The sequence below is a fragment of the Homo sapiens genome, chromosome 16 (genome assembly GCF_000001405.40).
Source record: "Homo sapiens chromosome 16, GRCh38.p14 Primary Assembly".
NCBI lineage: Eukaryota > Metazoa > Chordata > Mammalia > Primates > Hominidae > Homo > Homo sapiens.
The window spans coordinates 89,329,761-89,356,869 of NC_000016.10; the positions used below are offsets into that span (position 1 = coordinate 89,329,761).

A 27,109-nucleotide genomic window follows, 5' to 3' on the forward strand; every position below is an offset into this window, starting at 1 on the left:
CAGTCTGGGAGGCCCAGGCAGGCAGATCACTTGAGGTCAGGAGTTCGAAACCAGCCTGGCCAACATGGTGAAACTCTCTACTGAAAATACAAAAAATTAGCCGGGCATGGTGGTGCGTGCCTGTAATCCCAGCTACTTGGGAGGCTGAGGCACTGGGAGGCAGAGGCTGCCGTGAGCAGAGATCACACCACTGCACTCCAGCCTGGGCGACAGACAAGAGTGAGACCTTGTCTCAAAAATAAAATAAAATAAAATAAAATAAAATAAAATGTAAAAACATAAAATTTTGTTTATGTATTCACATTAAATATAAACATTTTAATAATGTTTAAAATGATTTAAATATACTTGAATGACATTAAACATTTAAAGGATTTAAAGCATTCAATATAAAAATACAAAAAGCAATCTCTACAACTTCAAAAAGGAAGAGGAAGCAATACACTTAGCTGTGTGTCCGGTCAGGGGCAGGACACAAAGCATTTGTCAACAATGACCATGCAGCCACCACCACACCAGGAGCATTCCTGACAGCACGCAGCTTCTGGGTGGGTGGGAAGGCTCGGGAGACCTGGCTCAGGATGTGAGTCAGGTGCTAGGGGAGCCAGTGGAGAGGGAGGGGCTGCTTCCCAGGTGGCCGCTCGCACACCGGGAGGGCTGCTGCTGGCTCTGGCAGAAGGCCCAAATTCCTTGGTGCACAGACACGGCTGCGGATGTGTGGACATGTCCGTGGGGCTACGTGAGGGTCCCCGTGACGTGGCAGCGGGTTTCCACAGTGCAGTCATTGATGGGGTGGTGTGGGGGGGAGCCACGGCACCTCTGTGACCTAGTATCGGAAGCAAGGGGCTGCGTGAGGGTCCTCGTGACACGGCAGTAGGTTTCCCCAGTACAGTGACTGGGGGGGGGGGGGGGGGGCGGGGGCGGAGGAAGCTGCAGCATCTCTTGTATCGGAAGTCCCACGGCTTCACTTCCACCTCATCCTGTTCCTCCTCGGCGAGTTCCAACCTCTAGCCCACACTCTGCAGAGAACGGTGCTCCACTTCTGAAGGGAGGCAGATCAAAGATTCTGTGGACACTCTTTAAACTTCCCCCAGTGGCTTTTGATTAAAACCTGGTAATTTGACTGTACAGTTCTAGTTAGTGCCATATGCCCTGAGGACAAAAATTAAAATTTTGAAAAATATTATAAGCAAAACACCTTCCTTTTTCTTGAGACGGAGTCTCACTTTGTCGCCCAGGCTGGAGTGCAATGGTGCCATCTCGGCTCACTGCAACCTCTGCCTCCCAGGTTCAAGCAATTCTCCTGCCTCAGCCTCCTGAGTAGCTGGGACTACAGGTGCCTGCCACCATGCCCGGCTAATTTTTCTATTTTGAGGAGAGATGGGGTTTCGCCATGTTGGCCAGGCTGGTCTCGAACTCCTGACCTCAGGTGATCTGCCTGCTTTGGATTCCCAAAGTGCTAGGATTACAGGCATGAGCCACTGCGCCCGGCCTGATGAAATACATTCTTAATATTAACTTCATGTGTTTCTTTTTACTCTATAATGAGGCTAATAGAAAATTTAAAATTAGATGCACAGTTCACATCATATATCTCATGGACAGAACAACTCTATGGGACAGAAGACCCCGATCTCTGACAAACAGGCAAAAATCCCAGAGAAAAGAACAAAGGGAGAATTTACAGATTAAAGACTTAAAAGACATCAAAGAATCTTAGTGTGTAGACCCTGTTTGGAAACCAGTTCAAACAAAGAACTGCTGAAGAAAATGGCACATTTAGGAAAGAGCCTTTTGATACCGCTGGGTGTGTGGTGACACTGAGAAAGTTCAAGGCACCCAGCGATTCAGGAGATAGAGATTTATAGATATGTATTTAGGTACAGGGTCTCCTCTGTCGCCCAGGCTGCAGTGTAATTAAATAATCACAGCTCCCTACAGCCTCGAACTCCTGGGTTCAAGGGATCCTCCTGCCTCAGCCTCCCAAAATATTGGGGCTACAGGCATGAACCACCACACCTAGCCTGTGTGCTATTTTTATTTTCATTTAGTCTAAGATACGGTGATGGTTTTGAATGTTTTCGGCGGATGCAATGGTGTGGACTCGGGTTTGGTTCCGGGTTAACGGGCTGGGGTGGCTCCTGCACGTGGGCCCCACATGCTGGGAACCGTCATCACCACTGTGTTCACCACACTCTCTCTTAAGAAGGGCACACAAAACATTCAAAAAAAATTTAAAAACTCAGTAGCATGCAGTGGCTGATGCCTCTAATCCCAGAACTTTGGGAGGCTGAGGTGGAAGGGATCATTCGATCCCAGGAGTTTGAGACCAGACTGGGCAACATGGCAAGATTCCATCTCCATATTAAAAAAAAAAGATAATAATCTTAAAAGACACAATTCCAGAAGCTGCAGAATGTGTCACAGAAATGACTTCCTTACGTATTAAAGAATCCTCACAATAAAGGATCATTTTACAAGCAGACTATAAACACTGAAACAGACAAAAAACTAAAAACCCAACTCATGAGAAACACCTGGTGAACGCTCTTCAGCTCCGTGAAGTCCTGGGATGGCCCAAGCACCTCTGGTGGGCTGTACCTTTTCAGAAAGAAACACTGAGCCCCCCAAGTCCCCGAGGACAGAGATGCCTTACAGCTCCACACGTCCCTCCACAACGGCAGCACCTGTACCCGCAGCTCTGGGGAGAAATGACACCTGCAGGCCAAGACAAATGCAAGAAAACAGCCTCGTCTGCTCACTGATTCTCACCAACTTCCTCTATAAAATGAGGACAAGAACCCATTCTCCTAAAGGATTTTGTGGGGATTAAATGAAAAAGCACTATCTAAATCCAAGTTATCATCACTGTAATGGCTTTAGAAAAAAGCAAACGACAAACACAACGAGAGAGGCGCTGAGACCAGGCAGGGCTCTCCTCCGGCAGGGCCTGGTCTGCACTGCCCTCTCTGAGGAAAGTGCCCCGCTGCCCTGACCTCCCTAGTTTCACACCTCCACACCTCCAAGGAGGTTATCCTGGTACAACTGAGAAAGCAAGCAATTCCCTTAGAAACGTCCATTTCTTTCCTTTATGCTCAAATGTTTTATTACTCCTTAGGGCTGCTTTGTTTTTTAACGCAAGGGTCCACAGTTGAGAACGTAGTTACAAACTCAAGAAACGAGCTGCAACAGAACAGCGGGGCTGCTCCACGCTTCTCAGCCATTTTCCCATCCTGTGCACCCGGGGAATTTCACACGTGGTCCCCCAGAGTGACAGGGAACCCCCAGGGAAGAAGGGCCCCTGTGGGGCATGCAGAAAAACGCCTGCCCCCTGGTGTGAGGTCACAGACTCAGTGGCCAAGCTCAACAATGCTCTGGGAACTCCAGTCAAAGATGCATCACAACTTTTGGGTCATGCCTAAGGTCAATTCCAGAATCATTTTAGCATGTTAAACAGACACTGAAAATAAAACATATTTTATTTTTTAAAGCAGCTTTAGGTTCACAGCAAAATTGAGCATGAAGTACAGAGGGTTCCCCTGCACCCCCGGGCTCAGCATCCCCACGAGAGTGGCCGTTTGTTACAGCTGAGACCCCCCTGGACACAGCATCATCACCCACAGGCCGCACGACCTCAGGGTCCACCGGGTGCTGTGCAGTCTATGGTTGGACGAACGTATCCTGATGTGGACCCACCGTTGTGGTATCATACAGAGTAGTTTCACTGCCCCAGGTCCCCCGTGTTCCTGCTGCACAACCCTCCGTCCCTCCCTCTCCCCAGCCCCTGGCGTCACTGATCTTTGTGCTGTCTGCACAGTTTTGCCCTTTCCTGGATGTCAGAGTCGGAACCCTACAGTGTGTAGTCCTTGGAGACGGGCTGCTTTCACTCAGGCCTGGCAGCTCGTCTGTTTTTAGGGCCTTGTAATAGTCTGTCGTCTGGATGGACCTTGGTTGACTGATCCATTCACCCTCTGCAGGACATCTTGGCTGCTTCCAAGTTTTGGCAATTATGAATAAAGCCATTTTGTGAAAGTGAAATAATACAGAACAGGAAACATTAGGGGGCACTGCACACCATCACAGAAAGGGACGGTATTATTCTGTGAGTATGTTCCCAGTATGTGGGCGTGTGTTGTGAACAGAGAGATAAACTACTTTCTCACCACTGGAAGCAGTCAGGACAATTCAAATGCTGGCCTAACTGGTTAAGAGCCCTCAATCTGTGGTCAGATATATCTAAGTTTCTCAATCTATAAAATACAGAAATAAGGCCAGGTGCAGTGGCTCAAGCCTGTAAAACAAGCACTTTGGAAGGCTGAGGTGGGTGGATCACTTAAGCCCAGTTCAAGACCAGCCTGGGTAACATGATGAAACCCTGTGTTTTAAAAAAAAAAAAAAAAAAAAAAAAAAAAACAGAGAGAGAGAGAAAGAAAGAAAAAACACTGTTCCCAAGCTGCGGGCTCAGGACAATGTCTGATGCCTGGCCTAGCCCTCATCAATGGCCTTCACAATCCCTGCTGACTGGGAGTCAACCCCCAGTGAGTGTACTGCCAATACGGCCAAGTTTCTGAAGTTGGTGACATGTGAGGGTACCCCAAGACTGAACAGAAACAACCTCCTCTCAGGTTCTGAGTGGGTCCAGCTCTTCTTACCCCTCCAAGCCTGCCATTCTCTGAGGAGTCCTCTCTTCCTCCACTGCTCTGCTTCCTCTCACAAAGGGGGAGTGTCCCACCACGTCCAACTCCAGGCTGGCAAAGTGACGAGAAAACACCCCACCCATGTGGGCAGTGGGCATGCGGCATGCTATGGGGCCATGAGAAGCAGCCAGGTGGGTAGGCCAGACCCTGACCCAGAGCAAGCAGAGCCCAGCGCAGTCTCAGCCACGCTCCATGAGGGGCCACATCCACGAGGGCCCAGGAGCAACATCCCAGGCACACCCCAGGGATGAGCAGCACAGGCCGCCAACCACGTCATACCACACTCACTTGTGCAAAACACCCTCAAACTGCAAAAAGCCCACCCACGTGTCCACCAGCAGAAGAGCAAATGAGTCCAGGTGGCCCACAACACACGGGGCGCACGTGTCCATAGACAGCACACTGGATTCGAAGAGCCAGACACGAGTGTGTCTGCTGTGGCCTTCTGCATGCATGAGGGCCCCATGGTGCTGGGGGCCAGGCAGACAGTCAAGCAGCAGAGTGGAGGGGAGGTCCAGGAGGAGATCCCACAGGTACATGTGACATGAGCTCTATCGTATGTGCACCTAAGATGTGTGCCATTTCCTCCACGGATGTTATACCGCAAAGAACAATAAAAAACGACTAACACTGATTGCTGACCACCTCCCCAAATAACTAATCAGGACACACCCTGATGCCCCATGTCCGGCCTGTGGGGGCACTGTGGAAAGCACAGGAAGTGAGCTCAGTGCGTGCCTTCCCCATTGTCCTGGCGTTCCATGCAGGCTGGGAGACGCGGGTGACAGCCTCACACCACCCCTGTTCCCAGAAGAGGCCAGTGCACCCCCAAGCAGGGGCTGCAACAGGGCTGCACAGAGGGCTCCAGTTCCTTCCAGCACAGGAACAAATCCACACCGAGGCATCCGTGAGTCCCACAGGTCCCAGAAGCATGGGAGCAGCTTGAGGCCTCTGCATTCAGGGGTCTCTGCCGTCCTGAGCTTCAGGATGAGTGGGTTCCCACCTAGCACGCAGTACGCAGTGGGTTAGGGCAGGTGCTCTCCCTCCTCTCCCTATGAACGCTATACCACTCCCATGAAAGCCTGTGCGTGCTGCCTCAGGACCCTGTAGCAGAACAGCGAGTGACGTCGCTTTGGCAGGGAACCTTTGGTTTGCAAAGCCCCGTCACACACACAAGCTGAGGTAAGATGACAAGTCTGTGTCTCTGCACCTCAGCTGAGCCCTCAGGACACAGCACATGAGCGCCCAGGGGCCTGCAAACAGCAAGGACCAAGGCATCACTGACCGTGACAGGCCCCAGTGTGTGACAGTGAGAGGCCCCAGTGTGGGTTCTCACAAGCTTGTTTTACGGTTTGACCCAGAGAGTACCTGTGAGTTTCCCCTACAGCTGGTGCTTCTAAAGGGCTAGGAGAAACGCAGGGCAGGATCCCCACACGCCAGCAGCTGACTGGCCAGACCCCTGCCTGTGCTGAGGCATCCGCCGCAAACATGACCGTGCAACATGCTTCAAGATGCCCTGTGACTCTCTCAGATGGGTCTTTTATTAGAGTTTCTAAATAAAGAAGTGATGGCCAACATCACAGGAAACCTTAGATACTATTCCTGCCAGTTGGTTTGAAAAAGCTTTAACTGTTAATTTGCTGATCGTTTTCAGCCACACGGTTTTCTGCCATGTAATCCACAGAACCCAGGCCTCTGGCCACTTGTCCAGGATACCTCTGGAGCTCAGAGCCACTGTCCTTGTGGGCTACTCAAGACTTGAGGGGTTCAGGCAAGAGCCACATCAACAGAGCTGGACCTGGTGCCTGGCTGGGAGCAGGTGCCGGGGAGCAGCCACCAAATGCACACACGCCAGGGCACGCAACTGCCCGCACCTCCAAGATTGTCGTCAGACCTAGAGGCGGGTGTGCGTCCACAGACAGCACACTGGATTCAAAGACCCAGGAAGGAAGGAGTCTGTTTGCTGTGGGCTTCTGTGGTGCTAGGGACCAGGTGAACACTGAAGGAGGGGCCAGACGGAGTCCAGGAGGACTCCTGTAGCAGGACATTGCCCAGATTTCTCACAATGTCCTCTACAATTAAGAGCACAACCACTGTTCCTTCTGCACTGGTGGGAACCCAGCACTTCAATGAGACACAAGGTTAAAGTGACGCTTTGTAAGGACGGAAAGCCACCTGTGGGCACCACACCCCCCGGGTGGGCCACGACAGGGAGCACAGGCACTAGGAGACCCGGCCTGTCCTAAAAGCACGCCCTACAAGGAGTCCCCACTCTCTACCTATCTGCTTCTAATGTTCTGACTACATGAGAGATGATAAAAGGGTTTCAATACAAGTGTAACATTTTAAATATAAAGGAATGTCTTTCCATTAGAAAACAACTGCAGGCCGGGCGCGGTGGCTCACGCCTGTAATCCCAGCACTCTGGGAGGCTGGGTGCGGTGGCTCATGCCTGTAATCCTAGCACTTTAGGAGGCCGAGACAGGTGGATTGCTTGAGCTCAGGAGGTGGAGACTAGCCTGGGCAACATGGTGAAACCCTGGCTCTACCAAAAAAAAAAAAAAAAAAAAAAAAAAAAATTAGCCAGGTGTGGTGGTGCACACCTGCAGTCCCAGCTATTTGGGAGGCTGAGATGGGAGGATTGCTTGAACCTGGCAGGCACAGGCTGCAGTGAGTTGAGATCACACCACTCTACTCCACCCTGGGCAACAGAGTGAGACCCTGTCTCAAAAAACAAAAAACAAAAAACTGCAAATTAAAACGCCAAACGCACAGATTAATGGAGGAAGCCCCATGCCCAAATGCTCCCAAGGAAACGTCAGAAAGGAGAGGACTTCAGGTGGCTCGGAATCCTCCGCCACGTGACCAAGCCCAGCTGAGCACTGGGTCTCATTGGATTTGCCATCAGACACTCACAGTTTTTGTCACTGTTAACCCTACTGCACAATACATGAACATGGTCTAAGCAATTCTTTTTTTTTTTTTTTTTTTTTTTTTTTGAGACAGTCTCCCTCTGTCGCCCAGGCTGGAGTGCAGTGGTGCGATCTCAGCTCACTACAAGCTCCGCCTCCCGGGTTCACGCCATTCTCCTGCCTCAACCTCCCGAGTAGCTGGGACTACAGGCGCCTGCCACCATGCCCAGATAATTTTTTTGTATTTTTTATAGTAGAGATGGGGTTTCACCGTGTTAGCCAGGATGGTCTCAATCTCCTGACCTCGGGATCCACCCGCCTCGGCCTCCCAAAGTGCTGGGATTACAGGCGTAAGCCACTGTGCCCGGCCTGGTCTAAGCAATTCTAACCATGCAGACAATGTGCAGGTCTTTCCTAGGTGGAAAGCAAGTTTGCCCAAGTCGCACGAGCAAGGCTGGAGTCAGCAATGCCTGTTCCTCTCCCTCTGTTCTCTAATGGTGTGGTCTTCAGTCTACTGTGTGTGGAATCCCCCTCTATTGGGACCACAGCTCCTGGGCTGCAAGCACCTGCTGAGCATGAGGGTCCAGCTTCCAAGCTCACTGTCCCACGGGTGACAAGCAACACAGTGACCTGCCTCCCACATCAGCTGGTGCCAGTATCATGGTGACTCCCTACACACCAGGACCACTGTGTCGCGCTCTGCCACTCAGGAGCCCCAGGGGCCCCCACTATGGCCATCCCAGGACGCCGCCCGTCAGGCTCCCAGGACACTGCCCCAAGCACCCAGCTTCAGTGGGTGTGCTGCCCCGAGACGCACTCTCACTGTGCCGGGGGGTGGGACCTCTGCAGCCCAGCACGTCCACTCAGTGTCCATGTGCTGCCATGAGCGCCACACTGTGTCCTCCAGGATGTGGGTCTCTGTTAGTCCCTCCCCTACCAAGCCAGGACAGCCACCTGCTTACAGGGGTGCTGACAAATACTGACTACCTGCAAAATTGAAACATGGGTTTGAAAAGGGCCTGAGTGGAAATCCTGTACTTAACATACACTCTGTTAAAAAAAAAAAAAAAAAAAAGGACCAGGCGCTGTGGCTCACACCTGTGTAATCCCAGCACTTTGGGAGGCCGAGGCGGGCAATCACCTGAGGTCAGGAGTTCAAGACCAGCCTGGCCAACATGATGACTGTCTCTACTAAAAATACAAAAATTAGCTGGGCGTGGTGGCATGCAACTGTAATCCCAGCTACTTGGGAGGCTGAGACAGGAGAATTGCTTGAACCTGGGAAGCTGAGGTTGCAGTGAGCCAAGATCACGCCACTGCCCTCCAGCCTGGGCAGCAAAGAGCAACACTCAGTCTCAAAAAAAAAAAAAAAAAAAAAAAAGAGCGAGCTTTTGTAGAAACAGGTTTAAAAGAAAAAATAATCTCTGCTCTTTTCAGCATTTAGAAAATCAGCCAGGCAAAACAATCATTTCCCTTTCTTAGCTAAAAGGTTTGCCAAATGAATACTTGGAGCAAAATAAGCCTAATTAGTAACAAAAAAATCACCCAGATATAAATGCGTAATTTAAACCCATAATGAAAGCACATGAGGAACTCCTTTCCCTCAAAGTCACCACCGAGGGCCTCACTGGACTTAGGACCCAGGAAGGAATGATGAGTCCATCTGCTCGTGACCTGAGTCTCTAAACCAGGAGGACAGACGTCCTGGGTAACCGCTGATGGGTGAGCGTTGCACCCCCAGGATCCCTGTAATTATAGGTTCTCAAGGACACCAACACCAGAATCCATATCCCATCTAGAAACTTCTTCCTGTGATGCCTGCCAAAAGGTCCATTTTTCAGTCCATTATCACAATGAAGGTGAAGTTTTGCTGTTTAGGTCAAAATCATGCATTAGGCAATAGAACGACCTAGAGATGTCTGAATTCCCCCTCAGTACAACCAAAGGAGTAAGAGAGGCCCAGGTTTGCTTGAAGGCTTACACTAGCAAACAAACAAACAAACAAACAAACAAAGAGAAACCAAGAACTGGGAAAGCTGGTCGGTAGCATCACACAGGTCAGATCTGAAAGCCCCATGGTCCGAGGAGCCCATCCTGCCCTGAGTGCACGCAGCGCATGTGAAGAGTCAGATATAAAGGTGGCTCTTTCACAAACCATTTCGGAAATTTAGACGAACCCTCAATTTATTTAGAATGGGTTATTATATTTTATAATTTCTACACAGAAAATATTTTCTAACCATATCATTTTATAACAAATTAGCAATAGCTAATGTTTCCTTTAAAATTTTTCAAGCACACAGAAAAGGATGAAGGAGAATACAAACACACATCCACCATCTGTTCATTTTGCCATATTTGCTTTAGAATTCTAACATTTAAAAATTACAAATTACATAATGGTTGAAGCCCCTTATATAAGCCCCACCCTGCTGTGGCTGCTCCTCAGCGTCGATCTGATTTTGGGGCTAAGCATTCCTCTCGGCGCTTTGATACTCACGCTACACACAAGCCTACACCAAAGCCGGCCGCTGTCTTTGCAGGTAACGCATTGGACGGTTCCTGCCGTACCTTTTCCCTTCAAGTTGTGCTCTGGGGTCTATCTGTGTGGATACAGGCAGTTCTACTATTCTTATGACAACTGCAGTGTGCGCTCCTCGTTGTCTGAAAAATCCATTCTCCTGTTGACTAACATTTGTTTTTTCCAACTTTTTGCGAATACAAACAACACTAAAATGAGTATTTGTCTGTTTCTTTACATATCTAAAGTTTATAACTAGAAATGGAATTTCTAGCAAGAAACTGTAAAATGCTTTGTAAAATATCTGATGAAATGTCACACTGTATAGTCATTCACAAACATGTCATCTTTCACTTTTGATTAGGGCAGATGTCTTCTGTTGTAATTTTTGTTGTTGTTGTTTTTGAGACGGAGTCTCGCTCTGTCGCCCAGGCTGAAGTGCAGTGGCACCATCTCGGCTCACTGCAACCTCCACCTCCCGGGTTCAAGCGGTTCTCCTGCAGCCCCCTGAGTAGCTGAGATTACAGGCATGCGCCACCATGCCTGGCTAGTTTTTGTATTTTTAGTAGAGATGGGGTTTCACAATGTTGTCCAGGCTGATCTTGAACTCCTGACTTCAGGCGATCCACCTGCCTCGGCCTCCCAAAGTGCTGGGATTACAGGCATGAGCCACAGCGCCCAGTCCTGTTGTAAATCTTTTATCAAGAGATCTTGGTTAGACAAGGGGAAACAGTACTTTGCACATCATCTTTTTTTCTAACATGATTACATTCTACAAAAAGAGACAATATAATTAACAAATTTCATTTAAATAAAAACTATAAACTCAAGTGCTAACAGGAGGCTGTTCATTGGCAAAACAAAATCTTGGAAGAGGCACAAGGGCCCAGAGAGCTCTGAAACCCCAGAAATCACACAGAAAATGTACAGGTATGTGGACAGTCCTGGGGAGAGGATGCACAGCTTTTGCCCAATTCTCAGAGAGTCCAGACCTGAAAAACGTTTAGGAAGGCACCTTTTCAATGTCCAAATGTGGGCAGTGATGTGGGAGTGAACATCAGCCAATAGAGTCCTGGACGGACATTCTACCTTCCAAAGCAGACCAGACTCACCAACACACCCAGAAAGAACATTTTTAAAATATAAATGGCTTCAGAATCCTTTAACATATGCCCAGGAAAAAATTAATAAGTCATAACCCAAGTCATGTGGACTGTTTATATGCAATATTAGAAAAGAAATCAAGGTTTCCACTGCGAAAAGCCTGAAACCCACAGCTCTGTTTCTAAGGTGAATGAGATGGGTGAGATCCGCGGAGAAGACTGGACTTCTGCTGCCATCATGGCAAGCAGACCCGGTTTGGAAACAATGCTGTGGGTCCATTTCTCTCTGCATTAAATACACCACAGGATTTTTCGTTTTAAATTATTAATCAGGCAATCAAACCAAAAGGAAGCAGACAATTTAAGTTGTAACAGGGCAATCTGCAGATTCTCACAGGTTGGAGGGATAAGGCCCCAACGTGAACAGACCCCACCAAGCAGCTTCCCAGCCTTCCAGAAGGTTCCAGAAGGCCTGTGTGGGCTGCTGGGCTCGTCACCTTAGCAACGGCTCTAAACATATGTGCAGTGACACCAGCTGATTTCTGAAAGCTGTAAATAGAGGATAATGGCATAAAAAAAATTCCAGATTAAAGGACCACCCACTGCCTCCTCTCCCACCCCATCCAGCCCATAAATCCCACCGTTAACACTGGGAGCAATGCCACGTATGCAAACGTGGCTTTAATCCCCTCACACACCTATTCATCTGCATAATGATATACCTACAAAAGCAAAATAAGGTCCTTGGGTTAACTCTCTCTGCACAAACGTGCACAAACAAAAAGTGGCCAAGAGATGGCAGAGTCTGGCACGGATGGACCAGCCCACAGCAGCCACGGCCCACGGCGGGAGTGCTGCACCTCCACCCACAGCGGCCACGGCCCACGGCAGGAGTGCTGCACCTCCACCCACAGCGGCCACGGCCCACGGCGGGAGTGCTGCACCTCCTCCACGAACAGCAGCCACGGCCCATGGCAGGAGTGCTGCACCTCCACCCACAGCGGCCACAGCCCACGGCGGGAGTGCTGCACCTCCACTGCCCACAGCGGCCACGGCCCACGGCGGGAGTGCTGCACCTCCACCGCCCACAGCTCTGCTTCCCACCCTCCACCTCACACCACCATGGGCACTTGGTCCCTTCTCTCAGGGCCCTTCTAGATCTTGGCGTCTGGGCCTCAAAGCACAACACAGGTACTGACAGGTAGGTCTCCACCATGAGAGAGAAAAAGATGAGGTCAACTGCCTGGGCAAAGGTTCCAGGTGGAACATCAAGAGCTGCTGGTGAATGAGAGCGGCAGCCCAGGCTCAGACCTCAGAACCAGCTTCTATCTTTGAAGGATGCAGCCCATTTCACCTGAGAGTCGGAAAACGTTGAACTCCCCAGAGATGTTGAGGCCTTGGGAAGACAGCATTCGGTCCAGGATAAACCAGCAATACTCTGGACCAGGTTTGCAAAGAACTCGCCCAACAGGAACAAGGCAAAGCGTGAGGAGGAACGGGCAGGGAGAGGCCAGCGTGAACTCGCTGCGGCCTGCGTGGCTCTCTCCTAGCACACCACGTGCCTGAGCAGGATATGCCTTTTCCTTATTTCCCCTCTATCATCTTTCTGAGGCATTATATGGAAAACTGGGTGAATAAATCCCCAAGTATGAGCTGACATTCTTAAGAGAAAAAACAAACTTGATACTTCATGGTGTAAAAATCTATTTATGGGCCCTACAGAATTACTTCTCACTATAGTCCTCATTAAAATTAAATACTAAATACTCTAAGGAAACACACAATTGCATGTTAAAACATGAAAAACATTATTACAGAATAACCAAACTTTTGTTCCCTCAGAGTGCCTTTCTGTGATCGTTTATGCCCAACTGGCAAAGGAGTGGGAAAGGGACGGAGGTGAATGAAAAGAAGGCTCATATCCCAGAGCCCAAAACAGGCATCATTTACATGCTTCATAATTCCGAATTTGGGATGCACAAACCAATAAAGACTATGTACTCATGTCTGTTTGCAAATATAAGCGCTTTTTAAATTTTTATTTGAGACGCAGTCTTGCTGTTGTCACCCAGGCTGGAGTGCAGTGGTGCGATCTCGGCTCACTGCAGCCTCAGCCTCCCGAGTAGCTGGGATTACAGGTGTGTGCCACCACGCCTGGCTCATGTTTTTGTATTTTTAGTGGAGACGGGGTTTCACCATGTTGGCCAGGCTGGTCTCGAACTCCTGACCTCAAGAGTGATCCACCCAGCTCGGCCTCCCGAAGTGCTGGGATTACAGGTGTGAGCCACCGCACTGGGCCTGAGCGCATTTTTTAAAAAGCAATACCTGTGTTCCCAAAAACAGAAAAATTGACATTTAGTTATAAGCTCCAACACTTTAATTGCTTAAACTGAATTTGTGGCAAATTATTTCAAAGTAAAAATCAGCTCAGATTTGTGTTTTTATGTGTAATCTCTTAAAAGCCAGGGTACACAGGTATTCCTAACACATAATGTATGTGTGAGTGAGTGAGCGAGCAAATGAGACAGAGCTCGAGGTGGGCTGGAGGCATGTGAGGGTGCACGCGAAACACAGTGCCTCCTCTTGGAGTTGCCAGAATTCACCTCGTTCAGAACCTCACCCCAGTCAGAAAACACAAGGCAGCAACTGGCCGGAACTTGGTCAGTCACATCCATAAACCACCAATTACCTTCACAGACCACGACTAACAGGTTTATTACAGATGAGTCACAGCTCATGTTTTCAAGGAAGGGTCTCCAACTGAGCAGTCACCAGTGCAGCCTGCGTCAGGGCGCGCCTCCCTCCAGCGGTCCCCGCGTCGCCCATGTCTGACACAGTTTATGCTTCGCAGGCGGTAAGGCTCCGCTCCTCACTCCCATGGACCAACAGAGTAGGGAAAACGAAGGCACGTTGGAAACTACGGATCACGGGCTGTTTTGGGTGTGGGAAATCCACCCACCCACACTCACGGCCAGCTCTGACCGACTGAACCCAGGGGCACATCACAGACATAAATATCGGTGCAGGCGGCCAGCCACTCCTCAAGCCCGGCCCCGCCCCTCCTGCTCCCAGCGGAAGCTTTTGGTGCAGGACTTCCCGGGCCTCAATCTCCTCATCTATAGGCTGGGAACAAACCCTGGAGTCTGTGCTCTGGGAGGAGCACACACGGGCAACCCTGGCTCAGGACAGATTCCCAGCCCCTAAGTCATCACTAGGGCTTAACGATCCATTTCAAATTACATCTGCACGGTGCTTTACTTTCATACGTTATTTTATTTGGAGCCTCTAACGAGCCTCAGCTAACAGATGGTATTATTTCCACATGGCAAACAAAGAGACAGGAGCTGCAACCATCCAAAGACACCTCCTTGCTATGAATGCCTGGCCAGGCCTCCAGGCAGGACCAGCAACTCCAGACCCCGTCAGGGCCAACACGGGCCACTGCTGTCCACACACTCCTAGAAAATATCCATCTGTCTGAAGCGAGTGACACAGATTTTACCCTCTTGAGGATAAAATAATCCCATCTGCCAAAATGACCCACAAATAAAGGCTCCTCCTTGTCTGAACGCTGCCTCAGCGTCTGAGGGATAAGCCCACAATGCAAGCGTCCGGGAGGACACTCCAGGCTGAGGGGCCCAGGAAGAAAGAGGGCCAGAAATGAGGGCACCCTCATGCATGCTGGGAGCTGCCGACACCTTCAGACTGGGAAGAACAAAGAGCTCCCAAGCACGAGGGCACGGGAGCACAGCGGAGGGCACGGGAGCACAGCGGAGGGCCAGACGTGAGGCCAGAGGCGGCTGGAGCAGCAGCTCCCACCCAATAGCAGACGAGGCGTGAGACTCTCAACCACCTTCCAAGTTTTCTCTTCATCTTCAAGAGAACCTCAAACTGTATTTTCCTTAGTTTCATTACCAGGCTCCTTGTAGAAAATACCAGTGAAAAAGAATGGTTGGCAGAACTGAAAATCTCAGGAAAAAGCACAAACACAGCACACAGCAGAAGCAGGCGCAGATGAGGCAGGAGGAACGGCAAGGCCAAGCGGTGCTCCAGGGAAGCCCAGCTCGGATGGTTTCTCAACCACTCCCTGCTTAAAAACTGCTTCACGGCCTGAAAGGGCACTAAAATCTGGGAGCATCCACCAGGAAATGGAAAAGGCAAACTCCCAACATAACCACAAAAAGACACTGTACAATCTCCAAACTGTAAAGATGGAAAAAAAAAATGGAGCGGCAAAAAAACATATTACAAGCCCCCCCTCCCCACCCCCCGGCAAAAGGAGAGAGAGAAGACCCATCACGACAAACGGATGGAAAGCACTCGACCCCACAGAGCTCAGTGCCGACACCCCCCGGCACCTGGTGCCCCATCTGGGGAGGCTCTGCCCTCGTGGGTGGACGAACGCTGGCTGCTATTAAGGGCTAGCACTGGGAGGCAGTCCCGTCCATTCCTCTGTCCCTGCAGCCACGGAAGGACGAAGCCCCAAGCACGGAGGCAGAGACCAGGCCCTCCAGTGGCCCCAGGCTCTCCAACTTCCAGCTTCCAGAACTGTGAGAAATAAATTTCTGTTCTTTATAAATGAACCAGTCTCAGGCATTTTGTTACAGCGGCATAAACAGGCTAAGGGAAAAAAGTAAATGGACTAAGAAATACAAGACCAAGTTTGTCAGATTGGAATGGAAAAAGTAATCCAGCTGGCTCAGCACGAGCTGAGTGATGTTTAATCCATGAACAAACATTTCAGAAAATACACACCAGGTGCATGCTGTGCACACCAGGTACATGCTGTGCACACCAGGCTGGGCTTCCTCTATCAATGCTAGGTACAGACTTGAGGCCAGAATGCATTCCAGGAGGTAAGGTGAGCCACTATAATATGGCAAAAAGTTCCTTTCACAAGAGAGCTAAGACGGTCCGACATTTATGCAAATAAAAGCCTCTGAGTAAAGAACAAGAATCAACAGAACAGGCCAGACACAGGCTCATGCCTGTAATCCCAGCACTTTGGGAGGCCAAAGCAGGCGGATCACTTGAGGTCAAGAGTTTGAGACCAGGCTGGCCAACATGGAATGACCCTGTCTCCACTAACAACACAAAAAAAAAAAATTAGCCGGGCGTGGTGCCGGGCGCTTGTAATCCCAGCTACTCGGGAGGCTGAGGCAGGAGAATCCCTTGAACCCAGGAGGTGAGGTTGTAATGAGCCAAGATCACGCCACGGCACTCCAGCCTGGGCGACAGAGGGAGACCCCGTCTCAGGAAAAAAAAAAAAAAAAAAAAGAATCAACACAACAGAGAAAATGCGCCTCAGCCACGGAGCAGATATTAAAGTGCCTTTCAGTAAAGAACAGACAAGGAGACAACCCTAACCCAGACTACAAGACAGAAGATCTGAAAGCAAGACCAAGCTGGAGCTAAACATATAAAATCATCCAATAATCACATAGAAAATAACACAATAATCACGCAATCCATTTTTCAAGCTCCCAGGGAACAACAGTCATCCAAACTTGATCACACAGACAACTACACCACACGCCTAAAAACTGTGAGAGTCACCTTCTGAAGTGACAGTGCAGTTCAGATGGGAGGATGGTGACCAGAAAACACAGCCTTCAATCTGGGAATTAAGAAATGCATTTCTAAGGATGAGGGAGGAGGGAAACCAGAGTAGGAATTTCGAATATTCAAAATTGGAAATGACAGAGATGCTATACAGCAAGGTGGGAGATCCAGGTAAAGTGGTTGTTAGAGGGAAATGTATTTATATTTATCGCTAGAAGACATCCCAATAAAGAGACTCTAAAAGTTAGAATACAACCAAAAGAATAGAAGAAAAACATGAGAAATGTACAAACATAAACGAAACAAAAAGCAAACATGTAACAGAGACTAAACAAAGTCAAAGGTGAGTTTTATTTTAAATGACCTATAAAATAGAGAACAAGCTACACGACACAATAGGAAAGCAACTAGACAAAATAGGAAGGCGCGAACTGTCTGCGAAGCAAATGGCCCAATCCCCAAGGTTGGTCAGTAGCAGGAAGAGAAGGCTCTGCTGGGCGAAAGGCCAGCTAAAGGGGGTGACTGAGCACATGGGCTGGGCTCCTAGGCCCGTGGAGGTGTCTCTCGTTGGTCCGGGCATCAGAGGAAGCAGCAAGCAGCTTGCTGAAATGGAAATGTGAATGAAAACACTGCCACAGCAGCACCTGGGTGAGGGCTTCTTTCAATCTCTGGCAGTGTAGCCTTGACAAGCTGACACATAAGCCTGACTGTCGCACATGTGTGTACCTGTATGTGTGTACGTGAACATGTACACATAAAAAGAGTTCCGTTCGGCCGGGCACACTGGCTCATGCCTGTAATCCCAGCACTTTGAGAGGCCAAGATAGGCGGATCACGAGGTCAGGAGATCAAGACCATCCTGGCTAGCACGGTGAAACCCCGTCTCTACTAAAAAATACAAAAAAATTAGCCGGGCGTGGTGGCAGGCGCCGGTAGTCCCAGCTACTAGGGAGGCTGAGGCAGGAGAATGGCGTGAACCTGGGAGATGGAGGTTGCAGCGAGCCAAGATCACGCCACTGCATTCCAGCCTGGGCGACAGAGCGAGACTCCGTAAAAAAAAAAAAAAAAAGGTTCTGTTCTCCAGGTTGTGAAAATGTGACTATTTTACATTCTATTTCTCCTTATCGGTTTTTCCTAATTTTCTAAAATGTTGAGTATTGCTTCAGTAATAAAGGTTACTTTTTAAAAAAGAATACAAAGAGATGACCACAAACATCTCCAACATTAGGCATCTCCAACATTAGGAAAAACATATTCAGTTTTTCACCAGTAAGAATGGTGTCAGTCAGTGGGTGTTTCTCAGAACGTCCTCCATCAGACTGAGGAAACTCCCTTCTGTTCTTACTTTGCAGAGCACTTTCCTCATGAATAGGTATGGGATTTTGTCTTTTTTTTTTTGACAGCATCTCATTCCATCACCCAGGCTGGAGTGAAATGGCATGATCTCGGCTCACTGCAGCCTCTACCTCCTGGGCTCAATGGATCTTCCCACCTCAGCCTCCAGGGTAACTGGGACTACAGGCGCGCCACCCTGCCCAGCTCATTTTTGTATTTTTTGTACAGATAGGGTTTCACCATGTTGCCCAAGCTGCTCTGCAACTCCTGGACTCAAACAGTCCTCCCATCTCAGCCTCCCAAAATGTTGGGATTACAGGCATGAGCCACCATATCTGGCCTCAAATACCATTTTTTAAAAAAATCTTCTTAGATGATCTTACGGCATTTCATTTTCCTTATGTCAATATGGTACACTACATTGATTTTTAAATGCTAAACCAAATTTGAACTTCTGAGATAAACCCCGCTTGCTCATGAGGTATCGCTATCCTTTCTATCTCCTATAACTTAAATTTACATCAGTATTAATGTGGGTGTTTCTCTAATTTTGGTATCAAGGTGTCCCTGACTCATAGAAAGACTGGATGTGTACCCTCCTCTGTTGTGGAAGGGCTTCTATATAACTGACTTTCCTTATTCTTTAAATGTATAGTACAAATGACCAAGTCAGTCATCCGGGACTGAAGGTTTCTTTGTGGGAAGGGTGTTAACTAAAATTTCAATTTCTTTAATAGATACAGGACTATTTAAGCTATCTATTTCTTCTTCAGTAAGCTGAACTAGTTTAAGTCTTTTGAAGAATTTGTCTATTTCATCTCAGCTGTCTAATTTATTGGCATAAAGTTAACAAATTCCCTTATTGTACTTTGAATGGCTATAAGATCACAGCAATGTCCCTTTTCTCATGTCCATACTAAAAATTTGTTGCTTCTTTTTCTCCTGATCCATTTGGCTAAGGGGCTACCAGTTTTATTGTCTTTAAAAAAAAAAAAAAAACACCCAGCCGGGCATATCACCTGAAATCACGAGTTCAAGACCAGCCTCGTCAACATGGTGAAGCCTCATTTCTACTAAAAATACAAAAACTAGCCAGGAGTAGTAGAGCGCACTTGTAATCCCAGCTACTCAGGAGGCTGAGGCAGGATAATCGCTTGAACCTGGGAGGCGGAGGTTACAGTGAGTCTAGATGGCACCACTGCACTCTAGCCTGGGGGACAGAGTAAAACACTGTCTCAAAAAGTAAAAAAAAAAAAAAAAAAAAAAAAAAAGAATAATAATTATAGTAATCAAGACAGTGTGGTGTTAGCAAAAGAATCGATAAATAGAATGATGGAACAGAAAAGACCAAAAACAGGCCAGGCGCAGTGGCTCACGCCTGTAATCCCAGCACTTTGGGAGAACACGGTGAAACCCCATCTCTACTCAAAATACCAAAAATTAGCCGGGCGTGGTGGCGGGCGCCTGTAGTCCCAGCTACTTGGAAGGCTGAGGCAGGAGAATGGCGTGAACCCGGGAGGCGGAGCTTACAGTGAGCTGAGATCGCGCCACTGCACTCCAGCCTGGGCGACAGAGCGAGACTCATCTCAAAAAAGACCAAAAATAGACCCACATAAATATATAGTCAACTAATTTCTTAACAAATGTAAAGAAATTGAATGGCAAAATAATCTTTTCCACAAATGATGCTGGAAATAATTGAATATCCTCATGCAAAAAACAAAAACCTCTAACCTTACCTTATGCCATACACAAAAATTATTTCATAATTGAAGTAAATATGACTGAAAACTATGTATCTTGTAGAAGAAAACTTGCTCTACGATGCTGGCTTAGAGAGATTTCTTAAAGACACAAAAAGCACAAAGTACCCAAGACAAAACTATGAAGTTGGACTTCATCAAACTAAAAACTTTAGCTGCTCTAAAGACACTATTAAGAAATAAAAATACAGGCCAAATACTTGTTAAAACACACACACACACACACACACACACACACACACACACACACACACACACATATTCAAACAACAAATAGCTGGTAAAGGACCTGTGTCTAGAATCCATAAAGAACTCTCAAAAATCAGCAGACAACCCGATTTTTAGAAATGAGCAAATGGCAGATATGAAAGTGAAGACACATGCTTCACCAAAGCAAATACATGGATAGTCCCTTCCCCCCACCAAAAAAGCCACATGAAAAGACAAGCAACATCATTTGTCACTAGGGCACTGGAAATTAAAACCGCAATTCACTAGAATGGCTAAAATGGAAAAGATGGACTACACCATGTAACGGCAAGGACAGAGCAGATGGAATTCCCATTCAACGCTGGTGGGAACACAAAACTGAGTGGTCACTTTGGAAAAGAGTCTGGCAGGTTCTTAACAAGTTAAACATTCATGTAACATGTGACCGAGAAACCCAGACCCAGAAAAGGTACCACATCCAGCCATCTGATGCTTTGCATGCAACTACTCATATCAGCTTGACTCCCAACAGCTAAAACTAGGAAACAACGGACATGTCTATAACTGCTTATTGGATGAACATGCGACATATCTACCCCCTAAAAAGCTACTCAGTAAACTACTGACATACACCACAGAACCCAGATCAATCTCAAAAGGAAGATGAAACACACCAGACACAAGAGTCCACACTCAATGATTCCATTCATATTAAATTCTAGTAAAGCAAAAGCTACAGTGACCGAAAGCACATCAGCATCCTGGGTCCAGGAAATAGGATGACATGCTGCTGCAAAGAGGAAAGGGGGAACTTTCTTGGGGTGATGGAAATACTACTCTGTATCATGACTGTGATGGTGGGAACAAGACAGTTCCAACTGATTCCTTAAAACTCTCACATCTGTAGTCATGAGCAACATGATGCTCATGTTGAGTGTGGTCAACAGGCCACATTCATGATGGTGGTATGTGCTACCATAAGATGCTAATGGAGTGGAACGGGTCCCATGGCATAAACACCTACCACTGTGTTACGATTTCTTTCCACGATTCAGCAGGGTGACTCAGCAACAGGCTCTACCATGTAGCTTAGGTGTGTGGGAGGCTCTGCCTTCTGGATCTGGGTACGCACACTCTGTGATGCTCAGAGGACAAGATCACCTAACAACGCATTTCTCAGGATGCATCCCCCGACCGCTATTAAAATTGATGCATTCCAAAGTATTTAAACTGTACCTCAAAGAAGCTCTCAGAGAGAATGCACGGGAGTGGACGATGGCGGGCACAAGAGCTCGTCAAGAGCACTGTTGTGAAGAAAAGCAGAGAGGCGGCGGCGGCAGCTGGTGGTGGGCATGGGCGAGGGGTTCCACGGCAAAGAATGAAATTGAATGCCCATCACCCCACGCCCACAGGCCGCCAAACACATCTGGAAAAGCAGAATACATTCCTGAAGGGGATGGCATCCATGGCCCTAGGGAAGGAAGACCAGATCCCAACAGGAGCAGGATGAGGCTGTCCTTGATACTGAGCAGGTGGCTGACTTCACCACACACCCTCCACTACCTCCGCAAATCACTCCAGGCATTCATTACCCACTACACCAAATAACTGATTCTCATTTCATAAATATACGTATTCAAAGAGGATCCTAGCGAACTTTTTCAAGAAAACACTGGATACAGACTCTCGGGCAGGTCTGTAAGTTAAGGCATGGAGACGAAGCTTCTCTCTGTGTTTGGCATTGAGGCAATGCTGCTGTGGGCACTGCAGACATAGGCCCTGTGACCTGGGCGCAGGTTCGTGTCATGCCACACAGCATGCAATTCCATGGACACAAAATGACCAGAACAGCAGACTCAGAGAGGACGCAGAGGCTGCAGGGGGAACAAGGAGTGACGATTAAAGGTCCAAGTTTCTTTCTGAGGTGACAGCAATGTTCTAGAACTGACAGTCCTGGTGGTTGAACAGACCCGTGAATACACTAACAACCTTTGAACTGTGCGCTTTATCTGGGTAAGCCTACGGTCTGTCAATCCTCTCAATCAAGCTGGTATTATCTCTTTTTTGGAGACAGTCTCACTCTGTCGCCCAGGATGGAGTGCAGTGGTGCGATCGTGGCTCACTGCAATCTCTGCCTCCCAGGTTCAAGCAATTCTCACGCCTCCGCTGAAATGACAGGCACAAGCCACCAGGCCCAGGTAATTTGTGTAGAGGCGGGGGTTTCAACATGTTGGTCAGATTGGTCTCAAACTCCTGACCTCAAGTGATCCGCCTGCCTCAGCCTCCCAAATGCTGGGATCACAGGCGTGAGCCATTGCACCTGGCCGATTATCTTCTTTGAAAAGCATGAGACACGTTTCCCTAGGGATGGAATGCTGGACACGAGACAAGACTTGTCCTAAGGACTGGATCTCACAGTGGCCAGGTATGCATCACGCCACGCGGTGCAGAGCCCTGGGGGAAGGCAAGTCAAGAAGCCAGGGGTCTAGGCACCGCAATGTCTCAAGGCAGCCCCCCAAGAAAACCAAGCAGAAGGCCACAGTGACGCCCTCCTGCTCTCAGGTCAGTGGCAGGAGGGCACTTGCTGATGCTGGGCACAGAGGAATGTCAGGGCAGATCTTCAAGGCTCACACCCTTCAGAGCTTCTGGCAAGCTCAACACAGTGAGCGAGCCCTGCCCCCAAGAGTGAGGCCCCTGTCAGGGCCACTTCCTCTCGCCCTGGCCCATCCAGATCTCACACACACTGTGGTAGATCTTTGAAGGGTAAAAGCTCTGTCCGCTCCACTCATCAGCACCAAAGTGTTCTGTGCCTGGCCCTTCTCCACCCAATTCACCAGTTTATTGAAGCCTCAGCTGGGTGAGTCCCGCTTGCCTCTGAAAATGTGTGTGCTCAGCCAGGCAGATTCTTGAGTGCGTTTCCTATGTGCTGCTGCCCTCCTTCAAGATGACCACATGGGCCCCCAAGCAGGGCCCCTACCTGCTTTGTCAGCATCTTGTCCTTTCCCTCTTTTCTCTCACGGCTTGTTCTACTTCACGGCATGTTTAAGCAAAGGGGGTCACTACAACAAAATTATTTTAAAACAAACATACTTCAGAAAAGTTTATGGAAAACATTAAACCTTGAATATATTAACTTTACAGGATCCATTTACTTCACCCTAACACTGAGTTAAAATTATAACAAGAGAAAGTAGGGCTGGGCGCGGTGGCTCACGCCTGTAATTAATCCCAGCACTTTGGGAGGCCAAGGCAGGTGGATCATGAGGTCAGGAGTTCAAGACCAGCCTGGCCAATATGGTGAAACCCCGTCTCTACTAAAAATACAAAAATTAGCCGTGCATGGTGGCAGACGCCTATAATCCCAGCTACTCAGGAGGCTGAGGCAGGAGAATTGCTTCAACTCAGGAGGCGGAGGTTGCAGTGAGCCAAGATGGCGCCACTGCACTCCAGCCTGGGTGACAGAGTGAGACTCCAACTCCAAAAAAAAAGAGAGAGAGAGAGAGAGAGAGAAAGTAAACAAAGTTTCTATTTATTTCTCCAGAGGATCTCAAAAGTAGAGCTGGAAATACCAGCAGTAAGAGGAACACCAGTCCAAGGCAACTACAAGGAACTGGTCACTTTTTCATTTTTTTGAGACAGAGTCTTACTGTGTCACCCAGGCTGGAGTACAGTGGTGCAATCTCGGCTCACTGCAACCTCCGCCTTCCGGGTTCAAGCAATTCTCCTGCCTCAGCCTCCCTAGTAGCTGGGATTACAGGCATGCACAACCACGCTTGCCTAATTTCTTTGTATTTTTAGTAGAGACAGGGTTTCATCATGTTGGCCAGGCTGGTTTCGAACTCCTGACCTCAGCTGATCCGCCTGCCTGGGCCTCCCAAAGTGCTGGGATTACAGGCGTGAGCCACTACGCCCGAACTGGTCACATATCTTATGGAACATAATGTTTTTCATGATCAACAGCCACTATGGGAACACAACACACATCAGCCCTGAGACACCCGAAACAAGACAGAGCAGCCTCTGCAGCCTCTCATGCAGGGAGCGTGGGGCATGTCTGCCACAGGGTGAGGGGCGGCGGGCAGAGATGGAGACATAAAGGCGGAGCTGGCTTCCAGCCTTGTGAACCAGCCCAGCTGAATGCCCCAAGTCTGTAAATAATTGATGGGAGCCAGAGCACCCAGCCCTGCAGGGCTCTCGGGAGCTGCCCGCCCAACAGTCCCATGCCTGGCACTCCCTCAGGTGCCGCCTGCAAGGTCACTCCACTGCTTCTAAATAATGCACTGCACAGATGGAGGAAAGTATACCTTTACCCATTCAAATCTTCCAAGGCACGCATTTTCACAAATTTTACATATATATAACTAAATTTTGCATTCAGCCAAAAAAAAAAAAAAAAAGAAAACTTCATGTTGAAACACTGTATCTCACCCTAGAATTTGAAAAGCCTCCTTTTCCTTCTCACTGTCAATCTTTTTTGAAGTCTCAAAAATGATTTTACTAACATTAGACAAATACCCAAATATAAAAAGTGCTTGACACAGTCAACACTGCAGCAGTGAGGTCCACTATGCCAGCGCAGTGCAGAGCCAGCCCACCTCCCTGCACCAGTGGAAATGTCACAGAGGGCAGAGGGCAGCGTGCCCAGCACCTGCTCTTGATAGGGAGGGCACTTCTAGGCTGGAATACTCAAGAGATTTGATTGTGTGTCATCAAAGCATGCTTTAAATACAAAAGCTGGCAGGGCACGGTGGCTCACTCTTGTAATCCCAGCACTTTGGGAGGCCGAGGCAGGTGAATCACCTGAAGTCAGGAGTTCAAGACCAGCCTGGCTAACACGGTGAAACCACGTCTCTACTAAAAATACAGAAATTAGCCGGGCATGGTGGCGAGCACCTGTAATCCCAGCTACTCATAAGGGAGGCTGAGGCAGGAGAAATCGCTTGAACCCAGGAGGCGGAGGTTGCAGTGAGCCGAGATCACACCTCTGCACTCCAGCCTGGGAGACAGAGTGAGACACTCTCAAACAAACAAAGGCTGTGAGTGGCCTGGAAGCTCGTTCTTCTAGCTCCTTTGGCAAAGAAAATGCCCCCAAAGGAGTGAGGGCAACAGACTTTCCAAGTCCCAGGAAATGCACAGATTCACATGCTGAAGACCCACCAGATGCAGGAAGGAAACGCCAGAACAACATGTTTGCTTTCATCTAAAAACATCAGAAAAAGTCTAAATGTTGCTGACATTTCCTGGGCAGCTGCCCTGTGGTCTCCCGTCTGGCCAAGGAGCCTCAACCCAGTTGCTCCCAACATACTCCCATCCCAGGCGAACCTATGCTGGTGATGCTCGGGAGGCGGGCAGAGGGCTCACGGAGGGAGGGCGGAGGGCTCACACCCTGAGGCTCGGAAGGCGGGCAGAGGGCTCACACCCTGAGGCTCGGAAGGCGGGCGGACGGCTCACACAGACCCACAAGGACCAAAGAGGAACGTGCAGGACTCCAACACAAACGGAGGACGATGGCAGAACAGAAGAGCTGATTAAGTTTCTGCTGCTTGTACCATAAACTTTTCATCAGCCAGACTGTTTGCCTGAAAGACCTAATCAAGGCTGACAAGAATTCAAAGCCATTTCAAAGTGCTCCTCAGGGGTGAACGTGGCCCCATGTCCGGCACATGCTCTGCTCTGAACGCTCTCTCTTCCAGCAGGGACGGCCCCAGACATCGAGTATCACAACCAACTCAAAAATAGACTGAAATGTCACAGTATCGCCAGGATCAAAAGAAGGTCTCTTAAAAATAAAGGGTTTCTTCCATTAATAAGTAAAACAAGAAAAAACCCAAAGATGCTCACTTGAACTTCATCTTGTTATGAGCATCCACCCGTCGAGGGCAGGTCTTGTGTTACTGAGCGCAGCCTGACAATCGCATCTGCACCGAGGCCCTGCCACGGCGGTTCACGGCAAGGGTCTGTGGCTCTCCTGTGCGCAGCCCAATGGAAAGGCAGAGTGACCGATGAGATAAACACCACAGGAACAGGGTGCTCCCCCCAGCACAGCTCGGGAGACCAGGGCTCAGGAACGCTAAGTGACTCGCCCAAGACCACCAGAAATGAGTTGGGAGGCTGAGGTGGGAGGATCACATGAGCCCCGCCCTGGGGGCTGAGGCGACAGTGAGCCCAGATAGCGCCCCTGCACTCCAGCCTGGGCACTGGAGTGAGACTTGTCTCAAAACAAATACAAGAAAGAATCTGGAAAACCTTAGTTACTATGAACTAGTGCTTTTCACTAACAAAACACAAGTATTTTTTAATTCTCACGTTTCTGATCATCTTTGTTTATAACATTTATAGGTTACAAACAATGAACTATTGTGGGTTTTTAAAAACTGATTACAGACTTTCAGGACGTCCAAAGGAGACATCTTTGTCAAGGGAGTAAAGTGGAGAATTCCAGAGACACGCACAGTTCTCGGTGGCAAGCCATCCGCTGAGGTGAGAAGGATGTGATCCATCAGCCAACCCTGCCTAGATGATGACACCAGCTCCGGAAGCCAGATGGAGCAGCTGGACACATTCAGAACAGTGCTTTCAAGCAGACACTGCTTGTTCCAATGTCAGCTCTATAAAGAATGTAACAGGGCCAGGCGCGGTGGCTCACGCCTATAATCCCAGCTCTTTGGGAGGCCGAGGCGGGCGGATCACGAGGTCAGGAGATCGAGACCATCCTGGCTAACACAGTAAAACCCCATCTCTACTAAAAATACAAAAAAAAAAAAAAAATTAGCCAGGCGTGGTGGTGGGTGCCTGTAGTCCCAGCTACTTGGGAGGCTGAGGCAGGAGAATGGTATGAACCCGGGAGGCCGAGCTTGCAGTGAGCCAAGATCGCACCACTGCACTCTAGCCTGGGCGACACAGCAAGACTCCGTCTCAAAAAAAAAAAAAAAGAAAAAAGAAAAAAAAAGAACGTAATGGTACAATTTTGGGGACCCCAAAAGGATAATGCACATAATAAACAACA

At 48.7% G+C, this 27,109-nt stretch overlaps 2 protein-coding genes across 6 annotated transcripts in view, besides 3 other annotated features; both read right to left on the reverse strand.

Moving 5' to 3' along the window:
• Positions 1–27,109, reverse strand: part of ANKRD11 (ankyrin repeat domain containing 11) — a 222,932-nt gene that overhangs the window by 62,131 nt on the left and 133,692 nt on the right. The gene's annotated exons all lie outside the window — the stretch shown is intronic.
• The window catches only part of LOC128462377 (uncharacterized), a 101,247-nt gene that overhangs the window by 12,715 nt on the left and 61,423 nt on the right, over positions 1–27,109 (reverse strand). The gene's annotated exons all lie outside the window — the stretch shown is intronic.
• Positions 649–1,172: an enhancer, noted in NCBI's record as "H3K4me1 hESC enhancer chr16:89396817-89397340 (GRCh37/hg19 assembly coordinates)". NCBI's record gives its function as "activates a minimal SCP1, AML or CMV promoter by ChIP-STARR-seq in primed H9 embryonic stem cells {active_cell/tissue: H9 hESC(primed)}" and the evidence as "EXISTENCE:reporter gene assay evidence [ECO:0000049][PMID:30033119]".
• Positions 5,922–6,051: a silencer, noted in NCBI's record as "silent region_7899". NCBI's record gives its function as "represses an Ori minimal core promoter by ATAC-STARR-seq in GM12878 lymphoblastoid cells {active_cell/tissue: GM12878}" and the evidence as "EXISTENCE:reporter gene assay evidence [ECO:0000049][PMID:35858748]".
• Positions 7,099–7,302: a silencer, noted in NCBI's record as "fragment chr16:89403267-89403470 (GRCh37/hg19 assembly coordinates)". NCBI's record gives its function as "represses an EF-1alpha promoter that drives an FKBP-Casp9 reporter gene in an ReSE screen in K562 erythroleukemia cells {active_cell/tissue: K562}" and the evidence as "EXISTENCE:reporter gene assay evidence [ECO:0000049][PMID:32094911]".